This window comes from Homo sapiens, chromosome 1 (assembly GCF_000001405.40).
Source record: "Homo sapiens chromosome 1, GRCh38.p14 Primary Assembly".
Lineage (NCBI taxonomy): Eukaryota > Metazoa > Chordata > Mammalia > Primates > Hominidae > Homo > Homo sapiens.
In genome coordinates this window covers 100,109,433-100,129,236 of record NC_000001.11, presented here as the reverse complement: position 1 = coordinate 100,129,236, position 19,804 = coordinate 100,109,433, and the positions used below count along the sequence as shown (strand labels likewise).

Genomic DNA, 19,804 nt, shown 5'->3' with positions numbered 1-19,804 from the left:
GAGAGAGGCTGTCACTCTGTTGCCCAGGCTAGAGTGTTGTGTCATAATCATGGCTTACTGTAATCTCAAACTCTTGGTCTTAAGCTCTCCTGCTTCAGCTTCCAGAGTACATGAAACTACAGGCATGCACCACCATGCCTGGCTCATTTTATAAATTTTTTGTAGAGATAGGATTTTGCTATGTTGCCCATGCTGGTCTTGAACTCTTGGCCTCAGGTGATCCACCCACCTCAGCCTCCCAAAGTGCTGGGATTACAGATGTGAGCCACTGTGCCAAGCCCCTGGACCATGTTTATTTCTGTTTGTATCCCTAGCACCTGGCACAATACCTGGCTTAAAGTACCTTTTATTTGTTTGATTGATAGTTTAAGAGCACAGCTACTGGGTGTCAGAGATGGCCTAGAATCCAGTTGTGCTAAAGCAAGCCTGATGTTTAGAATACTTTTTATTTAGAAGAACTCATAACTAAATCTAATGTCATTAGTATTAGACATCTATTGAGTACGACATCTATTGAGATGAGAAATAACATTTTATTGAGTTTTTATTGTTTTATATTGCTCTTATGACATTAACCATTATAAGGGAAAAAATAAGATTTGTGATTTTAGTTAGCGTATCCTCTGAAAGCTTGTATTTTTCTACAGCATATTTCTAGGGATGTTTTTTAACTAAGCATGGGGAATTCGTTTAACTTACAGGCCTTCCGTTTTTTCTTTCAACATCTAATGTATATAGGCATTTGGAATATATGCAACAATATCATTAATATGATTGGTAAATTGTCATAGTAATATAACTCTTCCAGGATTATGTAAAGAACACTTTGATAAGTGAATTCTTCTTGTACTTTTTGCAAATATATGAAGTATGACAGGACTTTTAAAACCGTAAAACACCGTCTAGGTGCAGTGGCCCACGCCTGTACTGCTATCACTTTGGGAGGCTGAGGTGGGCAGATCACTTGAGGTCAGGAGTTTGAGACCAGTCTGGCCAACATGGTGAAACCCCATCTCTACTAAAAATACGAAAATTAGCCAGGTGTGGTGTTGTGCCCCTGTAAACTCAGCTACTCAGGAGACTGAGGCAGGAGAATCGTTTGAACCTGGGAGGCGGAGGTTGCAGTGAGCCAAGATCGCACCATTGCACTCCAGACTGGGTGACAGAGCGAAACTCTGTCTCAAAAATAAATAAATAAATAAATAATTAAAATAAAAATAAACTGTAAAGCACCATAAAAAGTTAAATACCAACTGCAGTATCATACCACTATGGCATTTATACTAGAGAAAACTTCAGAAGATGAAAACCAAACATAATGATGTAGAGCTAAAAAGGTTTTCACAAACCTTCTAGTTGAATCCACTTATCTTACAAGTTCGGAAACTGAGTCCCCCCCTCCCCCACCCCACCACGAAAGCTTAATCTTGCTGTGTTGCCCAGACTGGACTTGAACCCCTGGGCTCAAGCTATCCTCCTGCCTCAGCCTCTGAAGTAGCCAGCACTACAGGTGGGAGGCACTGTGCCCAGCTCAGGAAAGCTTAAATGGAATTGGAGTAACACTCTAATCTGTTTCACATATGTTGCTTTAGATACTAGAAAAATAGCAACAGTGTATTCTCTTGTTTTGAAAATAATTCTTCCTCTCTCTGGTGTAAACCAGTGCTTCTTGTTCCTTTTCAGAAAACAGATACAAGTTATGAGGTAACATTTAACCTTATTGTACAAACGGAGATTTAGCATCCAATCATATGTTCAACAAGAAACTTAACTAAAATGACACATTTTAAACCCATATAAAATTACAAGTCAGCATTAAAAAATCTAAACAATTGAATCTAGCCTTGATCAACTGTTTCCAAGTTTTCCTATCAGTACTCAATTGCTGTTTATACTTTTTACTTGTGTAGTAGATAAGCAATAGTGTGGAAAAGGTTTAAAAGAAGTCCTTAGAAGAAAAACTTAAAATTGAACAAATTCTATTTGTTAGTTTACTTTTTTCTACCTGCACATCAAAGAAAGGCCATTGTTATTTAATTCTGGCAGAATAGTTTGAGAAGTACTTGTGCATAGGTATTTTTTACTAATTTCTCCCTTTATTTTCTGAATTATATAAGCATTTGTGCTCTATTTGATTAATGTTTATGAGCACTTTCACCTATATACCTCTGTCCAATTCTGGATTCTCTAAGATACAGCATAGGATGTGGAACACTGTGGTCTCTCCCTCTCAGGGCTTAAAGTTACTTTACTCAAGGATAAAATAGGTGTAATAAACTTGTTGATAATACTTCTGTGGTTTTATTACATAAAGAATATATTAAGCAGATTTAATTCGTGGATGTGAAAATACGTTTTTGTATGAATAAATGTAGGGAATATGTTATTTCCTTGATTTTAAACATTCAAAGCATTCTAATATCGCTTCACATATTAAGTTTTTATTTTATTTTATTTTATTTTTTGAGACAGGGTCTCTGTTGCCCAGGCTGGTGTGCAGTGGTGCAGTATTGGCTCACTGCAGCCTCTGCCTACCAGGTTCCGCATTTCTCCAACCTCAGCCTCCCAAATAGCTGGGACTACAGGTGGGTGCCACCACGCCTGGCTTGTTTTTGTATTTTTTGTAGAGATGAGGTTTTGCCGTGTTAACAGGCTGGTCTCCAACTCTTGACCTCAAGTGATCTGCCTGCTTCAGCCACCCAAAGTGCCAGGATTACAGGTGTGAGCCACTGCGACGGGCCACATACTAAGTTTTTAAAATGCAATCAGTCTCTCATTAATCAGTTTGATTACATGACATGGTAATTTTTTAATGTGAAAAGTTGTTACTAAATTGGTGGTTTGTCTTTCTAGATGTTATTTTAGAATCAGGGCAGTAAGGGTATATGAGGTTCTTACCTCATTTAATCCTCAAAACATCCCCATTTTACAGTTGAAAAGTTACTAAATTGATGGTTTGTCTTTCAATAGATGTTACTTTACAATCAGGGCCGCAAAGTCATATATCAGGCTAGTGCTAGGCACTCCACAGTGTTTATTTCATTTAATCCTCACGATATCCCCATTTTACAGGTGAGAAAAATTTAGTTTTAGGTTAAACACTGCTAGATTACTCACTAGTGGAACAAGAAGAAATTAAGCTTCAAATCCGGTGTGCTTTTCAAACTTCTGTTCATAAGTTAGAGAACACCTGTGGAAAGTCTTGTCACTTAAGACTGAAAACTTAATACAAATGATAGTGATAACTCATTTCGTGTGAATGTTTCTGATGGTTGGGTATGTCTTTTCCTACAGGAGAGTAAGTATAAGAATGAGCATTGAACTACAATCAGTTTCTAATCCAGTTCACAGAAAGGTTGGTATTTAGTCCTTTTTTGAAATATCATTTCGGTACATTGTAGACAATTAGTTTTGTTCTTTAAGAATGTGACATCTTTTATTGCATTTATTTTGCTTTTACATTTTAGGCTATTTTGCAACTGTTGGAAATCAAGGGTGGTGGAATCTACTGAGACAACAACTGAAGGATAATTATACTATATATTTCTTTTTTTTTTTTTTTTTTTTGAGATGGAGTCTTGCTCTGTCACCAGGCTGGAGTGCAGTGGCACGATCTCGGCTCACTCACCTCCCGGGTTCAAACAATTCTCCTGCCTCAGCCTCCCAAGTAGCTGGGACTACAGGCATGCACCACCACGCCCAGCTAATTTTTGTATTTTTAGTAGAGACGGGGTTTCACCATGTTGGCCAGGATGGTCTCGATCTCTTGACCTTGTGATCTGCCCACCTCGGCCTCCCAAAGTGCTGAGATTACAGGCTTGAACCACTGTGCCCGGCCTATACCATATATTTCTAAAACATACGTGAAAAATTGTGGGGTGGGGTGACATTCTCCTTAGATTTGCCCAGTGCACTTAGAAGTTGCATATTATATATATATAATAACATATATATAAAAATATATTTTATTGCTGTTGGTCATACACACACACACACACACACACACACACACACTGCTGCCTTGTAGAATTGGCATTTCATGGTATAAATGTAAAAACAATAAACCGAAGTACTGCAGGGAGATATTTGTGAATCTTTTACTTTACGTTTTGAAGAGAGGCATTTAGAGTATCAGTCTCATATAACCTTCAAAAGTGTGAGTCATTAACAGAACTAAGGATATAGAATAGAGGAGGGGTCCCCAACCCCCTGGCCACTTACTGGTACGGTCTGTGGCCTGTTAGGAGCCAGGCTGCACAGCAGGAGGTGAGTGGCAGGCAGGGAAGCGAGTGTAACCTCCTACGATCCACCTCCTGTCAGATCAGTGGTGGCATTAGAGTCTCATAGGAGTGCAAACCCTATTGTGAACTGTACATGCAAGGGATCTCAGCTGTATGCTCCTTATGAGAATCTAATGGCTGATCTGAGGTGGAAGTTTCATCCTGAAACCATCCTTCACTCCCTAATTCTTGGAAAAATGTCTTCTACAAAACTGGTTTCTAGTGCCAAAAAGGTTGGGGGCCACTGGAACAGAGAACTAAGAAATACGGCATCTGTGCCAAGGGCAGTGCCTCACACCTGTAATCCCAGCACTTTGGGAGGCTGAAGTAGGCAGATTGCTTGAGCCAGGAGTTTGAAACCAGTGTAGGCAACATGGTGAAATCCCATCTCTACAAAAAAATACACAAATTAGCTGAATGTGGTGGCACACTCCTGTAGTTCCATCTACTTGAGAGGCTGAGGTGGAAGGATCACTTGAGACTGGGAGGTTGAGGCTGCAGTGAGCTGTGAGGGTGCCACTGCAACCTAGACTGGGCGACAGAGCGAGACCCCATGTCAAAAAACACTGAAATATAGCATCTGTTTTCTGTGTGCCATAGCTTTCCCTGAACACATTCAAGGACCTAGTAGTATTAATAGTACCTTTGGTTTTTTAAGTAGCATCCTGGGTGAATTTCAGGAAGTACTTAAATAGAAGCTGCTTAAGAACAAGGCATTCTGAGGCAGAGCAGGTGCCTAAATTACTAATTTTCCAGAGTAGAGATGATATATTATACTTCTTACATGTTATTCCTTATGCCTGCTGTACCTCTTCATTTTCTAGCTTGGTGCATAAGTGGTTTAGATTTTTCTAGGATCTTAGCATTTCCTCAGTAGACATGAGTAGAGATTTTATTTCAAATGAATTCTTAACCTTAATGCCCAGTTCTTTATTAGTTTTACATCATCTTGTAACTAATGCTGTTTTTCTTTCACCAGTGTTCTCTGGTACATAATTTTGGTGTACTTTTTGTGAGCTCTAGCTGTTATGATGGTCTCCCACACTATGTACACGTAGCTACCTGGAAAGTGATCTTTATGAAAGGTACTTACTTCATTTGAGACTGAAAACAGTTGGGCTTCCATATCAGTGGCCACCTGGCCTAGGAGAGAATAGGCTCTTTGGAAGAAGCCTGGCAACGTGTTACCTGATACCCTGGTCTTCTGAGAGACAGAAGCTCTTTTTTCTAGTGTGGATTATTGTCAGTTCTGCTGATATATTTGCCACTTTTGAAATGCCATACCAGTTAACTTTAAGGAAACTAAAAATAAAATTGAATGTGGTATGTTCAGTGGTAAAGAAAATTTTCATCATGTTATGGTGTAGCAAGGACTGGGTCTAAATTTCCCCAAGCCTCTGATAGGAGGATATTCCTAAACTTTCAACTCCTAGCACTTGCTTAACTTTTACAGACCTCCATGTGGCTTTTAAAGAGCGGAATGTCTACCCCTATTTAAGATTCTAACTCTCTAAAGACTAATAAAAAACCAGCAGCACTAGAAAACAAAGCTGTCTGCAATATAACTATGATACACTGATGTTGTTGGATTTCTTTACTTCTGAGAAGAAATTACTCAAAAGGCCAGATCTAGTAAAAACATTTAAAAACAACAAACTTTCTTTTAGGACTTAGTTATTCGTCTGACTGATGACACGGATCCATTTTTTTTATATAACCTTGTTATATCTGAGGAAGATTTTCAAAGGTAACTAAATTTTTTTCTGATCTTATATTTAGTGAAAAAATAAGTTTCTAAGTTTTATTGGTACTGTTCTCTTTCAAACACATACCTACATATTAGATTTAGTTACTTTGGGAATATTGGGCTATTTGTACTATCTTTACTTAGGGTGTTTTGGAAAATAAATATTTTGTGGGTTATTAGAATTCTGCTTAAAACACCTGTGAAGTTTGAAGCTTTTGCTGAATTTATTGATTTTTTTTCCCATTGAATACGTTCTATAAAAATCAGAGTTCCTTAGCTTAGTTCTTGATTATAACAAGCGTTAGTAAATTTGAAAAAAGAATCCTTCAGGATGCTAATTATAATTAAAGATAGTAATTGGCCAGGCACGGTGGCTCACGCCTGTAATCCCAGCACTTTGGGCGGCCGAAGAGGGCGGATCATGAGGTCAGAAGTTCGAGACTAGTCTGACCAACATGGTGAAACCCTGTCTTAACTAAAAATACAAAAATTAGCCAGGTATGGTGGCATGTGCCTGTAATCCCAGCTACTCAGGAGGCTGAGGAAGGAGAATCTCTTGAACCTGGGAGGCAGAGGTTGCAGTGAGCCAAGATTGCACCACTGCACTCCAGCCTGGGTGATGGAGTGAGCCTCTATCTCAAAAAAAAAAAAAAAAAAAAAGGCACCAAAACAAAACAAAGTTAATTAAAATTTTTAAAAAATTTCTTTTCCTTTCTTCTGTATAGTTTAAAATTCCAGCAAGGTCTTCTGGTAGACTTCTTAGCTTTCCCACAAAAATTTATAGATCTCCTTCAGCAATGTACTCAAGAACATGCCAAAGAAATTCCAAGGTAAGTTGCATGAGAATGCTACATTATTAAATTTAATTCAAGACAGACTCTTCTTTGAAACACAAGTTGATGGCAAAATCTTTTCCGTTTATTATGACTATCCCTGTTTATTTTTAGAACTGGGGTTAGGCCTCCATTAAATCTCAGACTTTAAGGCATCTTGATTAAAATCAGAAATATTTCTTAATTTTCATGTCTTGACAAAGGCACTAAAGTCATCCGAAATATTTAGCAGCATCAAATATTTGGTTTTATAATGATATTGGAAAAAGGGAAGACTAAGATTGTATGTGTGTATGGTGCTAACGCCTGATTCTTTTACTGTAAAGTTCACCATCAACCTTTTATTTATTGGTTTTATCAGTTGACGATTGTTGTTGAATCAGTTATTTCATTAGGAAGAACAAAATGATGCTTCTGTATAATTTTTTCTATATTAAGTATAATTCTTCTATAAAGAAGAACTTTTCCTCAGCAATTAGGGCTATTTGATTACTCAGAAAATTCATAAAGGATAAATGCTTAATTCTTGCATTTAAATTGTCAATTTTTAGAGTAAAGAGCTGGTAGTCTACTTTTGTGGCACTCAGTGAATTTTTGTTTCTAGTTTTTGCTTTTTCTCTCATTTGTTTCTCATGAACTCATGGACTTTTATGTAGTCACTGTGTTTCAGTCAATCTTTTCTTTTTTTTGCCCAATTTATCTTTTACCATTGGGAGTCCTCAATGTGCTCCCTTTCCTGAGCTTTCTTAAGTAGAGAAGCTTCTGATTCAGTGAGAGATTTTCACTATCTCTTAAGTGTGTTATAATGTAACATTTTCTTTTCAAAGGTTTTTGCTACAGTTAGTTTCTCCAGCAGCTATTTTGGATAACTCACCTGCATTTTTAAATGTGGTAGAGACAAATCCTTTTAAGCATCTTACACACCTCTCACTAAAACTTTTACCTGGAAATGATGTGGAGATAAAGAAATTTCTCGCAGGCTGTTTGAAATGTAGCAAGGTAAGATTTAAATTTAAGTTATTCTTTTAACAAAATAAGTATCAATGGTCTTTGATAAATTATTGAAGAGATACATTGCCATAAGTTTTTGTTTTCTAAATAAAGTTTTATGAAATATAACGAATTTATTTTACTGTTTCTTATTTAGTCAAGGTATAGTCGGGATGGATCTGGACCAGGAATTGAGAAGCTTAGGTCTCAGGGTTTTTACCAATCGTGTGATTTTGGACAGGTCACTTAAACTCTTCTGTCATGGTTTCATCAACTGGTAGACATGTATGGAAATAGCTACCCTATCTAGCCCATCTTTTTTTTTTTTTTTTTTTTTGAGACGGAGTCTCGCTCTGTCGCCCAGGCTGGAGTGCAGTGGCGGGATCTCGGCTCACTGCAAGCTCCGCCTCCCGGGTTCACGCCATTCTCCTGCCTCAGCCTCCCAACTAGCTGGGACTACAGGCGCCCGCCACTACGCCCGGCTAATTTTTTGTATTTTTAGTAGAGACGGGGTTTCACCGTTTTAGCCAGGATGGTCTCAATCTCCTGACCTCGTGATCCGCCCGCCTCGGCCTCCCAAAGTGCTGGGACTACAGGCGTGAGCCACCGCGCCCGGCCCTAGCCCATCTTTAATGAGATAAGATATATGGAAATGTCTTGAAAATTATAAAGTGCTATATGGCACAAGGAAACAACATAGGGATGCTGCTTGAGTTTTTAGAGTCTTTCTAGTCAAATGCTATAGATCAGTGCATGTCAAACTTTAAATTATCTGGGGATCTTGTTAAAATGATTTAGATTTGAGATGGAGCCTAAGAATCTGCATTTCTAACAGGCTTCCAGGATGATGCTGATGCTATACTTTGAGTAGCATGGCTATAGATGATTACATTGTAAACTGTGTAATTTTATTATTTTTATGAATAGGAAGAAAAATTATCATTGATGCAATCACTAGATGATGCTACTAAGCAACTGGACTTTACACGAAAGGTAATTCAAATTTCATTTTGTCTTTGTAAGTCATCCAGACATTGGCACTGAATTGCTTCCTTGACTCAGTTCCAAGCTTTTATGTATTTTCTTTCAAAGCATGCTTCCGTTGAATTTCCATTCCTCTTTGCCACCCTTCAACTACCACTTAATTATCTTAATTTGATACTTTCTCTTGTACATACTTGATTTTACACAAACATTTCTGTATCCCCAATATATAACATGTTCCCTCGAGTCTTCATTAAATAAGATATGTATGTTTCTGTCATATATTAGTTCTCCACTCCCCACTTGTTCGCCTCATTCCTCTGGCCTAAATGGCTTTTCAGTTCCTATGCTCTAAACCTTTCCCTTTCTTTGCTATGTTTAGAATTAATTCCTCTGATAGGCTTAGCATCATTTCAGTCATAGCTACAACATTTCTGCCCTAGTTCATGAAATTGAAGGCCAGAGTATCTGTTTTAGCTTGTTCTTGCTTTGCTTTAAAGAACTATCTGAAGCTGGGTAATTTATAAAGAAAAGAGATTTAATTGGTTCATTGTTCTGTAGGCTGTACAAGCATGGCACCAACATCTGCTTGGCTTCTAGTGGGGACCTGAGGAAGTTTACAGTCATGGCTGAAGGCAAAGGGGAGCAGGAGTGTCACATGGTGAGGGTGGGAGGAAGGAGGTACCACATGCTTTTAAACATCCAGATCTCATATGAACTAACTGAATGAGAACTTGCTTAACACCAAGGGAATGGCACTAAACCATTCCCATGATCCAATCACCTACCACAGGCCCTGCCTCCTCTGTTGGGGATTACATTTGAACATGAGACTTGGAGGGGACAGACATCCTAACTATATCGGTATCTGATAATCTGCATGGCCTCATGCAGAAAATACCCCTGCACAATGTGGCCCACAGGGCCATGTTACTGGGTTTTATATGTAAGTGAACTATTCCTTATAATCGACTTGCTTCCCCTTACCCCTCTTTATTGGGTGGTAAAGAGCCAGATTTAATTAAAAGCTTTAATTAAAAGATAGTTAATCTTGACCTGTGGGCCGTTTTGGGTCTAAGATTGTTCTTATTCTAATGTTGATTTCCTAAAATTAAAAAATTTTGTGTAGGAAAAGGCTTTGAACATGTCCTGAAAAGCTATAATTTTGTTTTCTTTAATATCCTTGTAAATATTGCTATATTCTAATCAAAATTATTACATATTAAGGAGCCTATCTTAATATTTTGTGTTAAACTCTAATGTAGACATTAGCAGAAAAAAAACAAGAATTAGATAAGTTACGGAATGAATGGGCGTCACATACAGCAGCCTTGACAAACAAGCATTCTCAGGAACTGACAAATGAAAAGGAAAAAGCCTTGCAGGTAAGAACATTAAAGGAAACTGAAAAAATATCTTTTATTGCTGTTAGTCATTTTGTTAATTTTAAAAGTAATATATGCTTGCTTTAAATTTTCCAAACGTTACAGAAGTATATAAAATAAAAATAAAAATCCTCTCTTTCAAAGTCTTACTACCTAGAGATAATCTATAAACATTTTGATGTATTTTTTTCAGACTTTTCTCTACGTATATGTAAATAATATGTAATTTATAAATATTTGTTTATAAACTTATAACTCTGTAAATTATGTCATTTATATATGTACCCATATAATGGGTTTTTGGTTTTGTTCTATACTAATGGGGTCTTATTGGATATATTGATTGTAACTTTCTTCGCTTAATGTGATACCATTCTGTATCAGTTAAGATATTCCTTTTTAGTGACTGCAGAGTATTCATTTTTTGGGTTTAACTTAAATTATTTAACTACTTGCCTAAATGGTGGTCATTTAAATGCTTCGAAGTTTTGGTTATTTTAAGCAATACTGCAAGAAGCACTCTTAGTTTCTAGAAGTGAAACTGCAACATATCTGTATAAAATATTGATGGATACTGCAAATTTGCCACCCAAAAAGACTAAACCAAATGGAATCCCAAAGATAAGGTAGTGTATAAGGATACTTATTTCCCCATATTCTTGACATTGTTTTTAACCTTCTTAATTCTTCTTTTTTTTTTTTGAGACAAAGTTTTGCTTTTGTTGCCCAGGCTGGAGTGCGGTGGCACAATCTCGGCTCACTGTAACCTCTGCCTCCCGGGTTCAAGCAATTCTCCTGCCTCAGCCTCCCAAGTAGCTGGGATTACAGGCATGTGCCACCATGCCCAGCTAATTTTGTATTTTTAGTAGAGATGGGGTTTCTCCATGTCGGTCAGGCTGGTCTTGAACTCCCAACCTTAGGTGATCTGCCTTGGCCTCCCAAAGTGCTGGGATTACAGGCATGAGCCACTGTGCCCTGCCACGTTCTTAATTCTTAATATATGCCACCTGATCTTAAGGTAGTACTAGTTTTATTTTATATTTCTTGTATTTTTTGTGAAGATAAGCATCTTTTAATACAACTTTTTATCATTTTTATTTCTTCTATGGATTATTTTTTATTTTCTTTTCATCCCTTTTTCTGTGTGGTTATTTTTTTTTTTTCACTGTGCCCTGCCACCTTCTTAATTCTTAATATTTGCCACCTGATCTTAGTACTAGTTTTAGTTTATATTTCTTATATGTTTTGTGAAGATAAGCATCTTTTAATATAACTTTTTATCATTTCATTTCTTCTGTGGATTATTTTTTATTGTCTTTTCATCCCTTTTTCTGTGTGGTTGTTTTTTTTTTCATTTTTTATTTTTAGATGGAGTCTCGCTCTGTCGCTCAGACTGGAGTGCAGTGGCACTATCTCGGCTCACTGCAACCTCTGTCTCCTGGGTTCAAGCAATTCTCCTGCCTCAGCCTCCTAAGTAATTGGGATTACAGGCGCATGCCACCACCATGCCTGGCTAATTTTAGTATTTTTAGTAGAGATGAGTTTAACCCTGTTGGTCAGGCTGGTCTTGAACTCCTGACCTCGTGGTCCACCCACCTTGGCCTCCCAAAGTGCTGGGATTACAGGCATGAGCCACCATGCCCAGCTGTGGTTGTTATTTTCTACTGCTTTGTAGTATGAATTCCTTTTCTACCTTTCGTACTATAGCTTCTTTTTTTTTTTTTTTGAGACAGAATTTCGCTCTTGTTGCCCAGGCTGGAGTGCAATGGCATGATTTGGCTCATTGCAACCTTTGCCTCCCAGGTTCAAGCAATTCTCCTACCTCAGCCTCCCAAGTAGCTGGAATTACACATGTGCCACCATGCCCGGCTAAATTTTGTATTTTTAGTGAAGACGGGGTTTCACCATGTTGGCCAGGATGGTCTCGAACTCCTGACCTTAGGTGATCTGCCCTCCTCAGCCTCCCAAAGTGCTAGGATTACAGGCGTGAGCCACTGTGCCCAGCCTTATAGCTTCTTTAATATTACATTTTATTGTTGTTTTTATGTACTTTACTAGATGCTTGCTCTTAAGAGTACAGCTTGATGATTTTTTTAAATGTGTAACTTTCACCCAAATTAAGATAAAGAAATTGGACCACCCCTCTAGGTTCCCTTGTATGGCTTCCTAGTCCTAACAGTAGTCCATAGGAGGTTATCATACTTCTGACTTACATCATCATTCATTAGTTTTGCCAATTCTTGAACTTTGTGTAAATGGAATCATATATGTTTGCATATGTCTTTCTTCACTCAGCATAATATTTCTGAAATTCACCTATTTTCTATTGTTTCCTTTTATTGTTATATGAATCTGCCATAATTTATTTTCCTATTGGTAGGCATTTGAGTTGTTTCTGGTATTTTGCTATTATTAGTTAAACTGCTATTAACATTCTTGTACTTATCTTTTTGTGGACACATGCACTCATTTTTCTTGGATATTTATCTATTATTGGAATGGCTAGGTTGTAGTATATATAGGCATATGTTTAGCTTTGGCAGAAACTACCAGTTTCCCAAAGTAGGTAGGTATACCGGTTTACATTGCCATTCTATGGGTATGTAATACTATCTGATAATAATGAACACTTCTTCATATACATATTTATCACTTGAATATTCTCTTTTCAAGTGCCCATTCAAGTTGTTAGCATGTTTAATTTGCCTATTATTAGTATTATTATAGATTTGTAGGAATTTGTATATTCTAGACATGAGTCCTTTGTCAGATGTATGCATTGTGAATATTTTCATTGTCTATAGCTTGCCTTTTCACTTTTTATTGGTATAAATTAAGGATATACACCTTATCTATCATGTACATTATAAACATTTCTCCCAGCCTGTCATTTGCCAGCATCTTTTGCCGTATATAGTTTTTTTAATTTGAATGTCATCAAATCTGTCAGTCATTGCCTTTATGGCTTAAGATTTCATTTCACATTTGGAAAGTGTTTCCCACCCGAGGACTATGAAAAAATTCTCCTATATTCTAATATTTGTTTAATTTTCTTGTTATATTTAGCTTTTTAATCTACTTGGAATATAATTTTGTGGAGTATAATATAAGGTAGAATTTTTTTGACATATAGTCAGTCATTGTTCCCCAATGATTTAAAATACTACCTCTATTATTTTATTTCATTTTTATTTTTTAGAGGTAGGGTCTTGCTCTGTTGCCCAGGCTGGAGTGCAGTGACACGATCATGGCTCACTACAGCCTCAACCTCCAGCGATCCTTCTGCCTCTGCTTCCAAAGTAGCTGGGACTGCAGGCATGTGTCACCACACCGGCTGATTTTAAAATTTTTTTGTGGAGATGGGGTTTCACTATGTTGCCCACGCTGGTCTTGAACTCCTGGCCTCAAGTGATCCTCCTTCCTTGGCTTTCCAAAGTGCTGAGATTACCAACATGAGCCACTGTGCCTGGTACTACCTTTATCACATACTAAATTTCTTTATGTACTTGGGCTTGTCTTTGGACTGTTGTTAAGAACTGATCTCATTTTCTCGTTCAGTGGAGAGATGTATCTCTTCATTTATTAAGGTCTTATTTGTTGAAAACAGACTTATTTACTCTCTCTCTCTCTCCCTTTTTCTCTGTTCTCTTTTTCTTTTGCAGTCTTGTTAAACAGTGTTTTTGGCTAGGGACTTTACAGATTTTTACTGCATAAATGAGACCATCCACTCCCTACCAGTACCACTGTGGTTAAATTTATAATTGTTTATCAGTAGTGTATGTTAATGTCATATCCAGCCACCTTACTAAATTTACATACTGTTTCTAAGAGTTTTGGAATTGATTCTCTTAGGTTTTCCAGGTAGATATGTAAACTATAAAAATTAGTAATTTTTTCTCTTCCTATGATTAGTGTCCTTTTTTTTCTTGCACAGAAAAATAATAGTGGAATTTTTATCTTTTTCCAGTCTTTTTTGGTAAATAACTAAAATATCTCACTGTTAAATATGATATTTGCTTTGCATTTGAGAGAAAGGGTTTTCTTCTCTTCCTTGCTACCTGAGAATTTTAATTCAAAGAGTGCTAAGTCAGATAAAATGAGTTTTGGGATCTAACCAAATAATTACGTCATTTTTCCCCTTTAATAGTGTAGTAAATTATAACAATAGATTTCCAAAGGTGGAATCATCTTTGCATTCATAGAATAATACTTAAATAGTCATAGCGATTTTTAATAAACTATTGTATCAATTTGCTATTATTTAACTTGGGATTTTTGTATTTTTATTTATTTAATTTTAGAGACAGAGTCTTGCTCTGTTGCCCAGGCTGGAGTGCAGTGGTGTGGTCCCGGCTCACTGCATCCTCAGCCTTCCGGGCTCAAGTGACCCTCCCACCTCAGTCTTTGGAGTAGCTGGGACCACAGATACAGACCACCAGGCCTAGATAATTTTTTTTATTTTTATTTTTATTTTATTTTTATTTATTTATTTTTTTTTTAGAGATGGAGTCTCACTATGTTGGTCAGGCTGGACTCAATCTTCTGGCCTCAAATGATCCATCTGCCTTGGCCTCCTGAAGTGCTGGGATTACAGGCATGAACCACCATGCCTGGCCCAGGATGTTTGTATTTATATTCATAAGTGACATTGGTCTGAGATTGTCTTTTTCCTGCACATCATAGTTCGCTTATTGCAAATGTGGGTTATAGACTATGGTATTAGAATTATGCTAGCCTCATGAGATGAATAAGGACATTTTTCAGTTTTCTTTATTCTTTGAAACAGTGAAATAACAGGGAATTAATCTGTACCTTGAGGGCCTGATACAATTAGCCTTTTAACACCATTTGGATCACTCACCTAGTTGAAGCATTTATCTTTTTCTTTTCCAGTTTTCTCCATGATTATTGGTCTGTTTAAATTTTCTCTTCTTGAGTTTTGCTAATTTATATTTTCTTAAAAAGCCATGTGTTTCATCTATGTGTTTTTATTTTTAAAATTTATTATTTTTTTTTATTTTTGAAGATGAGGTGTTGCTATGTTGCCCAGGCTGGACTCAGACTCCTAGGTTTAGGCAATCCTCCTGCCTCAGCTCCTCTAGAGTAGCAGGGACTACTGGTGTGTGCCATTGTATGTGGCTGTTATCTGTGTGTTTAAATATATTAGTACAATATCGTGCATATTGTCTTGTGATTTTTAAAATCTCCATATTATTTCTCTTATGTTCTTAATTTGTTTTGTTTAACGCGACTAGGTGGTTTTTCTATTGTTTAGTGTTTTCGAAGAACTAGTTTTTCATTTCATTAATTAGTTCTACACTGTTTCTCCCCCTATTTCGTTAATTTCTATTTACTACCTTTTCTTTTTTTTTTGGCTTGATTTTCTTTTTTTTTTTGAGACCGAGTCTCACTCTTGTCACCCAGGCTGGAGTGCAGTGGCATGATCTCAACTCACTGAAAGCTCTGCCTCCCGGGTTCACGCCATTCTCCTGCCTCAGCCTCCTGAGTAGCTGGGACTACAGGCACCTGCCACCACGCCTGGCTGATTTTTTTGTACTTTTTTTTGTCTTTTTAGTAGAGACAGGGTTTCACCGTGTTAGCCAGGATGGTCTCGATCTCCTGACCTCGTGATCCGCCCGCCTCAGCCTCCCAAAGTGCTGGGATTACAGGCGTGAGCCACCGGGCCCGGCCTTTTTTTTGGCTTGATTTTCAAGCAAGTTGTGTTCTTCTTGACGTTGTTGTTCGATTCAGGGGTACATGTGCAAGTTTGTTACTGGATATATTGCTTAATACTGAAGTTTGGGCTTCTGTTGAACTAATCACCCAAATAGTAAACATAGTACTCAATAAGTAGTTTTTCAATCTCTACCTCACTCTATTCCTCCCTCATTTTGGAGTACTCCTTGTCTATTGTCCATGGAAACAAGTTAGATCTGAAAGTTTCTTCATAAGGGCATTTGTTTAAAACTCCAGAGTGACTGAAGGATTTGTTTGTATTTCTGTATTGCACTTTCTGATAGGATTGTTAGGCAGCCCTTCGGGACTTTAAAACCAGGTCAACACTTCTCTTCCTGCTAATAGATAATGTAAAACTTTAGTGTGCGTGAGAATCATTTGAAGGGTGCATTAGAATGCAGATTGCTGGGCTTCATCCCCAGAGTCTTTGATACAGTTAGTCGGGGGTGGAGTCCAGGAACTTGATTTCCTGATAGGTTCTTAGCTGATACCGATTATTCTGTTCAGAGGACCGTACTTTGATAACCACTGCCATAGTGTGCTCTTTCTCAAATTAGGCCAATTTTGTGACTATATAGAAATCTGCTGAGGCAGGTAAACTGCCTTCTATTATTACTGATGGTTTCTACAAATGTTATAGGGAATAATGGCTGTATTATCTATATTTGTCACTTATCTATTCAAGTGGACATTAAACCTGTGTTATCTTTAAGGCATTTTAATAGGGCAAATTTGATTCTTGCATTTTTTATTTCTCTTTATGTTTACACTTATTTCTCATGTTTTCTTTATACCTCCATTTAAAAAAATATACTGAGTAATCTGAATTGTTTCTACACTAATTTCTTTGTAGAAGCTTTTTTTCTGTGAGGAAAGTCCTAGCAACACGTAGAATCACCCATCTTCCTTCTATTTATTGTATTATTTTCTTAATTCTGACTTCTATATTTCATCACTTCTTCATAGAATTTTTTATTAATTTTTGTTTTCCCATTCATATCATTATTATTCCATTCCCAAAACATTTTTCTCATCTAATATTCTTCCAAAACTACTGTGTGCTTTTCTGATTTAAGCCTCTATAGAATATTCATTTGAAAAATATTGCTTCCACCTCTACAAATTCTCCCTTTTCTGTTAGACTCTATTATTTTGAAACTGTCCTTCCAATGATTATTTTTTTTCCTCCAGAATGGAAAATTTTTAATGTATTTTTTTCTAAAAATAATGAAATGATTCAGAAGGGAACAAAGTAGAAAATGTGAACTTTATAATGCTAGTTCTCACACTTTTTTTTTAAACAAAAATCTCCAAGGTTCTGATGAGCACTGGAATAAAAACCAGTTCTTTATTTTCACTGCTTTTGGCCTCTATTGTCTTTAGTGTCTTTGATTACTCTCTTAGACAGTTACAGTTAGCATCTTTACCAGTTTGCTCTGATTTTTCTTCTTGGTTGCTTCTTCAATGTTTTCTTCCAAGATGGCATTTTCAATTTTATATGGACTGCTTCCTGTTTTATCTCTTTTTGCTCCTTCTCCTCTCCTTTTCAGCTTTCTGAAAATGAGGAAATTCCTGAAGTAGTAATGTAAAATTCCTAAGGTATTTTATGAGAGAGACACTCCCCTGTACTAGTGCTAAGACTTTTGAATGGGTATAACTTCTCTGGGATACAGTTTTGGAACTTGCATCAAGCTTTATATTTGTTTATATTCTTTATTCTATAATTGATCATAAAGAAATAATCTGAATTTTAGATGTATGTCTGTGCAAAAAAAATCATCATTTTATTTATAATTGTGAAAAATTGGGAACTAAATGTCCGTAATAGGGCAGAAGTTAAATGAATTATGGAGTAACCATGGATGGAATGTTGTGTAGCTATTAAAGACTTTACAAAGAATTTTTTAATGATGTGAGAAGGTGCAAATGCTAAGGGATTAAAAAGTGTGATTAAATTGTATAAATAGTTTGATATTCATTCATTAAATTTAATATGTATATTGTGTGTTTATGTGGATGTCAATATAAGTATATAAACGAGTGGAAGAGAGTACTCCTAAATATTAGGAGTGATTTTTCTGGATGGGATTATGGGTTATTTGTGTTTCCTTTTTGCCTGTAAGAGCATGTATAACTTTGATAACCACAAAAATATGCTTTATTTTCAAAAGATATTTAGGATTTCATAGTGTTCGTTAACAAAAGTTACTAAGATAGGTTTGTGATACGATTCAGACAGGCACTAAATATTGCACAGTTATAACCATGTTCAAATTTTATTGTTGGTAAAAATGACTATAAGATTGGACTAATGAACCAACCTTGCTCGTTTTACAATTTTAGGTGTTTTTCCATTATAAAGCATATATACGAGTATTTATTATTAAAAACTGAAACACTGTGATGGTGTTTAAAGCAAAAATCTGCTTTTTTTTTAATACACAAGTAGGTTCATCCTGTATACAGTATTTGCAGTTTGCTTTTTTAACTTATATAGCATCTTCCCTTAACTTGAAGACTGTTGCACCTAAACATATATGGATTTAGAAGAAGCAAAAATTATGAACAAGATCATGGTGGTAAATTTGCTTTTGTTGACCTTGCTTTCTCCGTCATGAAATTCATAATTGAAAATAGACCCTTTTCAGAATGGGGATCTAAAGAAAGATGACAAAATTAAGACAAAAAAGAAAAAGAAAAAATAAGAAATTACAATTTTTTTTTGTTCAAATCTTTCTGTATTTGTATTTCTGATTTTTTTCTTTGAATTTTGGTACTGTATTTTTATTGTATCATAGGCACAGGTTCAATATCAACAGCAGCATGAACAACAGAAAAAAGATTTAGAAATCCTCCATCAACAAAACATCCACCAGCTACAAAACAGACTGTCTGAGTTAGAAGCGGCTAATAAAGACTTAACCGAAAGAAAATATAAAGGAGACTCCACTATTAGAGAACTTAAAGCAAAACTTTCTGGTGTTGAAGAGGTATTGAATGTTGTTTTTTTTCCTCCCCCAATTTAAGAGAACGTTTTGATTTGGTTATTTTAATGTGGTTACTTGTGTGGGTGGTGTTCCTCTGGATGCTCTTGTGGTGTTAGGGTATCCATTCAGACAATGCAAAGAAAATTGAGAATTTGAAATTTGATAAAAAGCATAATTCATAACAGAACTGAGGTAAGCTTGAATATTTTTAGTTAGGGTCTTGAGAGCAGATTACTGGCACAGCTGTCAGATTTATCAATATGTTTTTAATAGTAACACAGCACCTGTATTTCATAGGGTACTGTGTTGACAGGGCTGGGGTTTTTTTTCCTCAACCTGCTTAACATATATCAAACAATTATGTGAATTTAGTATCTAGTAATAATAATGATAATGGTAATAGTAAAGATAATAGTTAATGCTTACTGAGCATTTTCTATGTGATAGGTACTGTTTGAAGTGCTTTACATATATTAACTCATTTTATTGTTACAACAGTTATTTAAGGTAGGAACTATTATTAGCCCTATTTTACAGATGATGAAACTAAGGCACAGAAAGGTTAAATAAGTTGCCTAAGGTCACATAGTCAAGGAGTGGAAGAACAAGGATTAGAACTCATCTATTATTTGACTATCTTTAATACTACCTTGTTCTTTCAGGCAACAGAGAAATTTTTATTTTTTATTTTATTTATTTTATTTAAGTTCCAGGATACATGTACAGAATGTGCAGGTTTGTTGCATAGGTAAACATGTGCCATGGTGGTTTGCTGCACCTATCAACTCATCACCTGGGTATTAAGCCCCACAGAAATTTTTAAAATCTTGCTATAGTGCCACATTTGTTGTTGCTTTGGCAT

The 19,804-nt window shown here is 36.3% G+C and overlaps 1 protein-coding gene across 6 annotated transcripts in view, besides 1 other annotated feature; it reads left to right on the top strand.

Annotated features, from left to right (window-relative positions):
• Window positions 1–19,804, top strand: part of SASS6 (SAS-6 centriolar assembly protein) — a 49,361-nt gene that overhangs the window by 3,694 nt on the left and 25,863 nt on the right. Inside the window, exons 1-9 of one of the 6 annotated variants that reach the window (XM_047447896.1) lie at window positions 2,571–2,585; window positions 3,295–3,355; window positions 5,260–5,365; window positions 5,948–6,027; window positions 6,753–6,857; window positions 7,688–7,859; window positions 8,778–8,843; window positions 10,100–10,219; window positions 18,754–18,945. In XM_047447896.1, coding sequence (XP_047303852.1) covers window positions 8,796–8,843; window positions 10,100–10,219; window positions 18,754–18,945 — 360 coding nt within the window. In that variant the 5' untranslated portion in view covers window positions 2,571–2,585; window positions 3,295–3,355; window positions 5,260–5,365; ... (2 more) ...; window positions 7,688–7,859; window positions 8,778–8,795. Of the gene's footprint in view, window positions 1–2,473; window positions 2,586–3,294; window positions 3,356–5,259; window positions 6,028–6,752; window positions 6,858–7,687; window positions 7,860–8,777; window positions 8,844–10,099; window positions 10,220–18,753; window positions 18,946–19,804 lie in introns of those variants that run through there. The other 5 variants (XM_017000486.2, XM_047447884.1, NM_194292.3 and 2 more) reach the window with 5 other exon arrangements.
• Window positions 15,715–15,904: a silencer, noted in NCBI's record as "fragment chr1:100578889-100579078 (GRCh37/hg19 assembly coordinates)". NCBI's record gives its function as "represses an EF-1alpha promoter that drives an FKBP-Casp9 reporter gene in an ReSE screen in K562 erythroleukemia cells {active_cell/tissue: K562}" and the evidence as "EXISTENCE:reporter gene assay evidence [ECO:0000049][PMID:32094911]".